Source organism: Homo sapiens, chromosome 13 (assembly GCF_000001405.40).
Source record: "Homo sapiens chromosome 13, GRCh38.p14 Primary Assembly".
Taxonomy (NCBI): Eukaryota; Metazoa; Chordata; class Mammalia; order Primates; family Hominidae; genus Homo; species Homo sapiens.
This window is the reverse complement of record NC_000013.11, coordinates 23,489,363-23,500,388: the sequence shown is the minus strand read 5'-3', so window position 1 is coordinate 23,500,388 and position 11,026 is coordinate 23,489,363. Positions and strand designations below refer to the sequence as shown.

The 11,026-nt window shown below is 43.6% G+C and overlaps 1 annotated feature.

The window, feature by feature from the left end:
• Positions 7,396-7,896: an enhancer, noted in NCBI's record as "H3K4me1 hESC enhancer chr13:24066632-24067132 (GRCh37/hg19 assembly coordinates)". NCBI's record gives its function as "activates a minimal SCP1, AML or CMV promoter by ChIP-STARR-seq in primed H9 embryonic stem cells {active_cell/tissue: H9 hESC(primed)}" and the evidence as "EXISTENCE:reporter gene assay evidence [ECO:0000049][PMID:30033119]".

Below are 11,026 nucleotides of genomic sequence, written 5' to 3'. Positions count from 1 at the left end.
ATCATATTGGGAGTACATGATATCTACAAGACATCGCTGGTGACGCTGACCTTCATCTCTTGGTTCAGGTAGTACTTGGCAGCTTTCTCCACTGTAAAGTTATTATTTGTCTCCTTTCATTTTCTATTCTTTGGAAGGGAGTCACTAAACCCAGACCACTCTCAAGGGAGGGCAACTGAGCTACACCTACTACAGAGGGGAATACCCACATATATTGTATGGAATTTTTCTGTAAGAAAAATTTGTCTTTTCCCCCTCATTAATTTATGTATTCGATCATTCTTTATATAACTCTGGACTTGCATATTTTTATTTTTATTTTATACTGTGGGCTATATCCAGTACTTCATTATTTATTCTGTTGCTCAGATTGTCCCAGCTCTGGCCATTGGCAGCATTTCCAGGATGGATCCTGCGTCCCTTTGACACGCTCCCATTTTGTTGTCATTGTTTGGGCACTTTCTCATATTCTGGCATACAAGATGCACCAGATACATTCTGCAGATTGGCCCTAGAATCAGATATTTCTCCATAAAACCCTGGTTCCTCTTAGTGCAGAATGGTATGTAGAAACCAAGATCTGGACTCTGGCTGCTGGGATGTCATTGTCCCTAGACCTTCTAAGCCTTATCAGCAGATGATCATAATCTCATGAGTGTTTAGAATTTTAAAAGGTTTTAAACTGAACTTACATAAGACTTCTGATACAATGTTAAGTACACACATTCACATTTCTGATTCCGATTTAGTCACTTCTCCCCATCCTTTCTTCTTCTGTTTCTTTCAGAAACTATCTTTTCTGTCTTAAATTCCCCTCTCTGCCTTATATTCCTTCTTAGATACCTTTCCCCTCTTTCCCTTTCTTTCTCCTTCTAGGTCACGAGGGTCTGACCTAATCATTAGAGGGAAAATAATCTGCTTAACTACATTTTTCTTAGAGGCGAATGACTGATATTAGTCTAATGAAATGAATGGCTCTAAAAATCCTATGTGCAGTGAATCAATCATGAGCTGTTGAAAATATAAATACTTTAGTCAGGTGAGGTGGCTCACGCCTGTAATCCCAGCACTCTGGGAGGCAGAGGTGGGCAGATCACGAGGTCAAGAGATCGAGACCATCCTGGCCAACATGGTGAAACCCTGTCTCTACTAAAAATACAAAAATGAGCGGGGCATGGTGGCGGGCACCTGTAATCCCAGCTACTCAGGAGGCTGAAGCAGGAGAATCACTTGAACCCAGGAGGCAAGATCATGCCACTGCACTCCAGCCTGGTGACAGAGGGAGACTCTGTCTCAAAAAAAAAAAGAAAATATAAATACTTGGGCCCCTCATTCCAGACGGAATGGAAATCTTGGAGCATACGGGGGGCATGCTATGACATCCATAATTTTATAACCTACAGTGCTTATGTTTTGTGACTATACACAAACTGAGATCACTTTAAAGATACTAAGATTACTAGTGTGTGTGTGTGTATGCGTGCATGGTATATCCATTAATCTCCATTATACACCCACATCCCCACATACGCGCACATATACATACTTTTTCAGCTTCTGAAAAATCAATTTCAGGCAGGCTCCAAATCAAGTCCAAGGTGTGTTGTTTCTTCCTTCTGCCCACCTCACCCCTTTTCCCACTCTTCTGTCTGAATGCTGGGAAACCAACCCCTCTGAACTTGGCTTTTCAGCTTCTTGTGGGCTAGCTTCAAGGCACGAGAGGATGGATATCAGGAGGAGAGAGGGGTTAGGATCTTTCTTCCCCTTTCCTTCCCCATGTCAGTACCCTGTTCAGACAATAACTGTGTCCCTCCAAAATTATAGCTACTGAGCTCTGATCACACTCTTTTCTCTCCTTGCTCCTTCAAGAGGAGGGGCCACAATGGTTTTCTAATCTTGCTAATCTCTGAGTGCCTCAGCATCTTTCATGTTGCCTACATTTAATGTGGTCTACAGCTCTGTAAAGAGTCCTTGCATTGGGCCGGGCGCGGTGGCTCATGCCTGTAATCCCAGCACTTTGGGAGGCTGAGGTGGGCGGATCACAAGGTCAGGAGATCAAGACCATCCTGGCTACACAGTGAAACCCCGTCTCTACTAAAAATACAAAAAATTAGTTGGGCGTGGTCGCGGGCGCCTGTAGTCCCAGCTACTCCGGAGGCTGAGGCAGGAGAATGGTGTGAACCCGGGAGGTGGAGCTTGCAGTCAGTGAGCCGAGATCGCGCCACTGCACTCTAGCCTGGGCGACAGAGCAGACTCCGTCTCAAAAAAAAAAAAAAAAAAAAAAAAGAGTCCTTGCATTTACATCTTATAAAGCAGGCCTTTGAATGAACTTTTGTGTCCTGCTGTGGCCCTGACTGATGCACAAGGAGTTAGGCTTGCCTCGTCTAACAACAGCTGCACGGCTTCTGGGGTTGGACGAAGAGTGAGACTTACTATTTTACTATTATAATTCACGAAACACGAAGAAATCCATGCTGATCTGAAGAACGCTTTTTTCTTTCTCTTGGTCTTCAGGGGGCAAGATTAGGATTTATTGTCCAGTTTTATAGCTGCAGTTGACTTCATATCAGACTTTAAATCAACCAAGAAGGTAGTCTAGCATTTCTAATGACATTATCTCTGGATAGCCTGCTGAAGAGTTCTTGGGATTAGGAAATTGGCCCAGGACGCTACTTCCAGAGCCTTTTGGGTTGGAATGTTTCAGAGAAGAAAAAATAGAGTTGCCGTCTTGGAATCCAGCACTAGTTTATTGATTTTATATGACTGACATCCTGGCTCATGTGTGCTGGCTTTGAACGTTACAGGATGCTCCCCTACCATTCCCATGAATTGGTTTATTATATTTTCTTTCTGATTGTCCTGCCCACCCAAGATGGGATGAGATTGTTTTTATGCATTTTCCCAACTTCGCTGGCAAAGTACAATTCACTAAAACCCCAAGAGATGGGAGCAGAGTGCACCGTCAGTCACTGTAGGGCCAGACAGTCGTTTGTGTGATGAGTTTCTTGTTCTTACTACTTCATAATAAGACAGTGACTAACTAGTCTTTGATTCCTGGTTCTTAGTGATTGTTTTTCTTCTCAGCCACCCAGAGGGTTGCAAGTCCCTGACGATTCCTTCTTGAACCGCCTGTCACTTGTAACTCGCCAGACTGAATTTTCTTTCTTGAAAACTGAGATTTAGAACTCCTGGGCATGTCTGGAGTTTAGATCATTTCTAATCACAAATTAGAAGTAAATTGAAGAATGGTCAAATATAGCCCAAGTCTCAACATCAACCCTTATGTGGGTCCAAGGTCATCCTTTACTGTGGAGAGAAATAACCTATCACATGGTTTGCCTTATGTGAAAACACTTGTGCTTAGGCACTGAAGACATCAGCCAACCCACAATTACAATTCATATTTTCATAAAATAATTTCAGCTCTTTAAAACTCATATGAGCCACTCTACTTTTCGCTTCCAGTATCTTTCTTAATTTTTATTACTTCCAGAAGATTTGCAGTTCCAGAAAACTCCAGTAATTTCTAACTCCCATGACTTTAAGTATATGTCTAAATTTTTGTTTTTTTCCTAATTGAAGCCAGTTTGGACAGAAATTTTGTTGGAAACTCCAGGTTTTATGGTACCGGGAGCAAATGCTCTCAATGCTAATTCCTCTGTTAGTTTGAATATTTTTGCATATGCTTGCCTTAGTTTTTACCAAAGTTATACATAACCAGAGTTTAAGCGAACAAGCTGGTTGTGAAAAACAATAGGCTCTACCCCCCCTTTCCCCTTATTTTCTCCTCCCAGAGACACCACTTTTCCTACTTTCAGCAAGTAAGGAAGTTTTACCTCCATTTCTCTGAATGGCTGCTTGTCTTTCTACTTTTCACCTTTTCAGTTGTAGGTGATCTCTCTCCTGCAAAAGCTGATCATTTGACTGTTGCTTCCGCCCCCTCTACCACCACGCAGACTCTTCCTATTCTCCCAACTCCCAAAATAGTTCTGTTGTAGAATAATTACCTCAATATTCACCATTTACATGTAAATGCTAGTCACAGTGGTGCCATCCATGTAGTAAATTATGATCATTTTTTGTCTCTGAATAAACTTTTGTTTTTCTTGGAGTTAATAATCTTTTTCTCTTGATTTTTTTTTGGTCTTTTTATTAATTCCACTCAAAAATTTCCCAAATTGTCTAAGTTTTCCCTCAAGACTTTCGGATACATCAGGTGATCTATTAATTTCATTTTTCTAGAGCCATCTCTTCTAATTTCCTCTACACTGGACTTCTTGTCTGCACTGGGCACACAGCTGGTCTTGGGATTTCTCATCACCCATGCTTTGCCTCTTCCTGTTCTGATTTCTCTTTTCTTTTACCCCATGTCTTCCTCTTTATTGGAATAAACTGCTCCTTTTGGTGGAACTCATCTTTTGTTAGCTTTCTGCAAGAGGCTGTAAGAGCCAAAAAAAAAAAGTTTGAGAACTTGTACATTTAAAAATGCCATTATATGTCCTCATGCTTGATTTACAGTTGGGCTTATGTAATTTTAAGATGGAAAACATTTTCCTTTAAAATTTTAAAAGCCACTGTTCCATTGCCTTCTGGCTTCCACTACTGCTGTTGAGATCTCTGAAGTTACATGGAATTTCTTTTTTCTTACCTTTAGAAGTTTTAAACCTCTTCTCTTTGTCCTGGAATTCTGAAAATTTCGGACAAAGTGCCCTGGTATGATGGTGCTCTTAAATTGCGTGGCTACTTGGCTGGCTCTTTCCATCTGGAATCTCATGACTCTTCGTTCTGAGAGATTTTGTTACATTATTTCTTTGAGGAGTCCCTTCCCTCATTTTCTTTGTTGACTTTTTATGGAACTCCAATGTTTTTTTTTTTTTTTGAGACGGAGTCTCGCTGTCGCCCAGGCTGGAGTGCAGCGGCGCAATCTCGGCTCACTGCAGGCTCCGCCCCCTGGGGTTCACGCCATTCTCCTGCCTCAGCCTCCCGAGTAGCTGGGACTACAGGCGCCCGCCACCTCGCCCGGCTAATTTTTTGTATTTTTAGTAGAGACGGGGTTTCACCGTGTTAGCCAGGATGGTCTCGATCTCCTGACCTCGTGATCCGCCCGCCTCGGCCTCCCAAAGTGCTGGGATTACAGGCGTGAGCCACCGCGCCCGGCCGGAACTCCAATGTTTAACTTTTATTTTATTTATTTATTTTTTTTGAGACAGAGCCTCGCTCTGTTGCCCAGGCTGGAGTGCAATGGTGTAATCTCGGCTCACCACAACCTCCATCTCCCAGGTTCTCCTGCCTCAGCCTCCCAAGTAGCTGGGTTTACAGGCACGTACCACCACTTCCAGCTAATTTTTGTATTTTTAGCAGAGATGTGCTTTCCCCATGTTGGCCAGGCTGGTCTTGAACTCCCGACCTCAGGTAATCCACCCACCTTGGCCTCCAAAAGTGCTGGGATTACAGGTGTGAGCCACCGTGTCCAGTCCAAATGTTTGACTTTTAAGGAAAGGGGAAATGAAGAAACTTCTTGGATGCCTTCTTTACTCTGGCTGTTTAAAGATCCCAGGAAAAAGAATTAGTAGGACAGAAAACAAAATTCCAATGAAAGTCAACAAGAGAACACAGGGTGCAGGGAGAATCATAATTCATCCAGTTCTTCTCCATTCCTTGTGATTGAAGTAATTGGACTGGAATAAAAGAGAAGAGGGATTTTGGGTATCTTCCTACAACTTTCTATTGGGGATAGTGAGGAGTGGAAGTGCAAAGAAACAAGACCATCTTCTTCATCTACCTTTGGGGCTTTACAAGTGAGCAATGTGTCCCAGCAGGGAACTTGGATAGTGGGAGGTTGGGTGAATGGTCAGGGAGTGAAACCCTTTTGGTATTGTCTGTGGTGAGCTTGTTAAATCTTTGAATTCAATAATCACCTTGAGCTGAGGCTTAACAGGAAGAGAGGTGCCAGCAGACAGGGCTGGAGAAAGGAGAATCAATGAGTGAGAAGAGAGCAATGCCCATCACTTATCCTTCATTTTTCCCAATTTTTGAACGGGATGTTCACCGATGTTCACCATCATTGGCATCCTCTCAGACACACACATACACACCCACACACACAGTGAGGGGTTCACACCGACATTAAAGTGAAACTGAACAGAACCCAACATCCACACATCTGTAGTGTGCAGCACACGCACACACACACACACACTCACCGTGTGACACTGATATGCTAAGTCTCTGTTGTTGCTTAGCACTTTTTTTTTTTTTTGAGACGTTGTCTTGCTCTGTCACCCAGGCTGGAGTGCAGTGGCACAATCTCGGCTCGCTGCAAGCTGTGCCTCCTGGGTTCACCCCATTCTCCTGCCTCAGCCTCCCAAGTAGCTGGGACGACAGGCGCCCGCCACCACGCCCAGCTAATTTTTTGTATTTTTAGTAGAGACAGGGTTTCACCGTGTTAGCCAGGACAGCCTCGATCTCCTGACCTCGTGATCTGCCCGCCTTGGCCTCCTAAAGCGCTGGGATTACAGGCGTGAGCCACTGTACCCAGCCATTGCTTACCACTTTGTTAATGCACCCTGTATAGCCAAGCAACTGAGAACAGACATTGTGTTAAGCCTCGTTATGTGCTGTGCATGTTGCCTGGGCATTCCCTGGCCATCCCCAAGAATGCTTGTAGACGAGGGTCCCCATGTTTTCCCCTTAGGTCTGAGAGAAAGCCAGAAAGAAGGGACCAGTCATGCCCAACTGGTGTGTCAACCGGATTTGCCATGTCACTCATGAAGAACATAAGCTGGTGACCAAAGACAAGTGAAAAAGTGTTTCCTAGCTGGACAAATATTATTAAGAAAATTTTCTTCTACTTACCTTAGTATGAGTGAGTTGACAGATTTTCCCATGCAATTCACCACAATGTTTTCTTGGACTCCCCCACCACCCCATTTTCTACGAGACTTTCACAAACAAGTCAGTTTGTGACTTTAGTAAAATACGTCAAGAGACTGATTATGCAAAGAATTCCCTCTGGAAAGTTAAATGAGGATAAAAAGTGAGCCAGGCAGTTGAGGGAAGGTGGGATAAGAGTTGGGAGGGCATAGGGGAATTGTCTGTGGGAGGAGCAGATGCTGAAAGTCATATTCCAGGGCTTGCTTTGAAGCCGAGAGAGGCATCATGTGCTCAGCCTAAAAAGAGGGGAAGAATGTCTGTGCTCATGAACAGACCCAGCACAACACCACGGTCTGGTTCTGTGCCTTCGTAACTGGCTTTCTCCCATAATTCAATTTCAGAGCCGGTTGAAGGACGATGTTAAATAGAAACAGGATTCTGAGGCTGGGCGCGGTGGCTCACGCCTGTAATCCCAGCACTTTGGGAGGCCAAGGGGGGCGGATCACCTGACCTCAGGAGTTCGAGACCAGCCTGACCAACATGGAGAAACCCCATCTCTACTAAAAATACAACATTTAGCGGGGCATGGTGGCGCATGCCTGTAATCCCAGCTACTCGGGAGGCTGAGGCAGAAGAATCGCTCGAACCCAGGAGGTGGAGGTTGTGGTGAGCCGAGATCATGCCATTGCGCTCCAGCCTGGGCAACAAGAGCAAAACTCTGTCTCAAAGAAAAAAAAAAAGAAAAAGAAAAGAAAAGAAATAGGATTCTGGAAAAAAAAAAAAAAACCCAAGCAAACAATAATTATTAGGCAATCATATCATAATCAAATACCATTCTTTAATTCTGATGGTTTCTTCATGAAAAGTTTCTGATATTTCATCTGAACTGCATTAAAATGGTCTTTTTCTAAGAATACAAGCATTTTTAAAAGTAGTTTCAAAAGTATAATTCCCATTTTAATGTAACACGCTCAGTTTTAGAAAGTTTATAGCTGTATGCTCCACATTTTATTTATTTATCTATTTTGAAAGAGGGTCTCACTCTGTCACCCAGGTTGGAATGCAGTGGCGCAATCTTAGCTCACTACAGCCTCCACCTCTTGAGCTCAAGCAATCCTCCCACCTCAGCCTCCTCCCACCTCAGCCTCCTGAGTAGCTATGACTACAGACGTGTACCACGATGCATGGCTAATTTTTTTAAGATTTTTTTTTAATAGAGATGGGGGTCTTGCTATGTTGCCCAGGCTGATCCCAGACTCCTGGCCTCAAACAATTTTCCCACCTTGGCCACATAAAGTGCTGGGATTACAGGCCGGAGTTGTCGTACCCAGCCACGTTCCACATTTTAGTTCTAAGGAAATGGAGGTACTGGAGCTGGAGTTTCGCTTCAACTCTATTACCAGCTCTTGGAAGTAGCTATTTCACGGGCACCTGGCAGTCAGTGTGAGCACAGAGGCTGCCTCCTGCCACTGGAGTATTGAAGTTCCTGCCATCTCTTTCAAGTTTGCTTTTATGTGTCTTCATGTAATAGCTTTGTTGTTAGTGTGCTTTAATAAGGAGGATGGATACTACTAATAGTCAATAGGTAGAATGCATGCTTCATCCTAGGCCCTTTTCTCACACTCTCTTGCATTTATCTCACTTAATCCCCACACAGACTTAAAAGCTTGGTGCTGTCATTATCCCCATATCACAGATGAGGAAACTTGCCCACAGTCCTGGGCTTAGTGACCGTGGAAGCTGGGATCAAACTTAGGTTGGCCCCATGGAACTTACCAACTTACTGACAGATTGCTGTTTTGATCCTTATGGCACCTCAAAAAACAGCCGGGAACAGCACAAGTTGTATCTGCCATGGTGAACAGAGGAAAGAGATTCTCCATCCCTCATACCTAATTCCACCGCAATCTCTCCTTTTATGTAGGAGAGATTGCTCCATTTATGTAAACCTTGCCATCAATGTTTACTTTATAAATCGGGCTTTCATTCTTTTGTTAAAAAAAAAAAAGTCCATACATCATTTCTCCTTTATTATGGGGTACATAACCCTAAAAGGATGAGATTTAAAAATCACCATCAAGTTTCATTAAATAAAAACATTTAGTGAGCAACCAGACTGCCCAAGAGGCTTGCAAGGATTTACATGCATTCCTTCACCAGTGACTTGATCCACTTGGAAGAGTTATTTTTATATCTACGTTACTGTTACTGCCATCTCTATTTCACATCCGCTGGAGAATACAGCTTTCCCAAAAGCCTGGGTTACAAGGTCAGAGAAATGGAACAAGTTCAAAATGTACAGCCTTAGAGACTATGTGAACACATATACCAAGACTTCATTTTTTTTTTTTGAGACGGAGTCTCGCTCTGTCGCCCAGGCTGGAGTGCAGTGGCGCAAGTTCAACTCACTGCAAGATCCACCTCCCAGGTTCACGCCATTCTCTTGCCTCAGCCTCCCGAGTAGCTGGGACTACAGGTGCCTGCCACCATGCCCGGCTAATTTTTTGTATTTTTAGTAGAGACTGGGTTTCACCATGTTAGCCAGGAGGGTCTCAATCTCCTGACCTCATGATCCACCCGCCTCGGCCTCCCAAAGTGCTGGGATTACGGGCATGAGCCGCTGCGCCCAGCCCCACCAAGCCCTCATTTTTGAAGTGAAATAAAGGAAAAGGCTTAAATAGCGTGAAAGCGAATGAAGTCATAATAAAACAGCTAATCTCTATTGAGAGCTTTCTCATAACCAAGGCTTTCCTAAGAGCTTTCCATGAATTAACTCATTTACTGTGTATAACAACCTTACTATTGACAGTCTGCCTTCAGATCCCAGCTTTGTGACCCAAGGCTTTGTGACTTGGAGCCACTTCACTTCTCTTGGCCTCAGTGCCTTCAATTATAAAATAGGAAAAATAATCATACCCGTTTCTTACCATATTTTATGTGTGCTCTCATTTAAGCTCATGGTAGTCCTGTGAGGTGCAGAGATGGAAGAGATGAAAGCTTGAAGGCTTGAGTTTCTGATAAAAGTTTAAAGGCCTGGAGTAACACCCCACAGCTAGGAAGTGGTGAGTCTAGTACCCCACCCTCACTGCACTTGAACCAGAGCGTGCACACTCCCAGCCACTAAGCATTCGCCTGAGTGGAGGCTGAAATGATCTGCTGTCTGCAGTAAGGCCACAGGAAATGCTCTTGGAACCTGGTCTCCATGAGATATCTATCAGGAACTTTTCACAACACCAGAAATGAAGGAAATTCTCATTTTTATTTTGATATATTATAAGCAAATATGTACGTTTTGGCACAATGAGAAATGTTTAGGAATTTTGACTAAAAAATTCTTTCTGGCAAGATTCTTTAGCCACTGAAATTTTAAGTGGTACTTACGGTTGTATGTATCTGACTCGCATCTGGGTGGCTACAACCAATTACCAACTACTGACAGCAAAAGAAAGACTTGCAAATATGATTTCACATCTGCATTTTTTATTTTATATTTAGCTCTTTGTCTTATCATGTTTGTCTAACTGTAGCTCTCTCTCTCTCACTGACAGGGTAATGTCTTTAAAATCTCACTACACAAAGTACTGGCTTTGTGAAAAGGCTCTGACCTATTTTGCCCTGCCTGGATTGGTTTTAACATCATGTAGATAGTAAGTAACAAACTCATTAAACCATTTCCATTCTTGTCTTAGGGGACAACGTGGTGCCCTCCCCTTTTACATGTTGCTTCTCTTATCAGCTTCACTGGCTTTGTCTACTAACCCCATGCCTGGGGAATTATAAGGAAGGGATTCGGGCACCGTGTTGTCTGCGGCATGAATCTTGCCAGGCTGTGGCTGTCACCAAGGTTATTGGACACTCCTCCCTGAGCAGGACCCACCTGGGAGGCATGCAGATGACAAGTGCCACTCAACCTTTTCCTCAGTGCCTGCTGGGCCCCGTGTGCATGTTCAGGTAATGAGAGGAACCTCGGAGCAAGTGGAGTAAGTGAGTGTGGTCACTCCAACAACAGACCAACCCATGAGAGGTCTGATTTCACGTTAAAATGGGAAATATTTGGTTGAATGGAATTGACGGAAAGGCAGGAATAGCCTTTCTCATTCCCTCATGGATAGAAAAAATGCACAAACCACGTTATCTGTTGGGTTGCATGGAA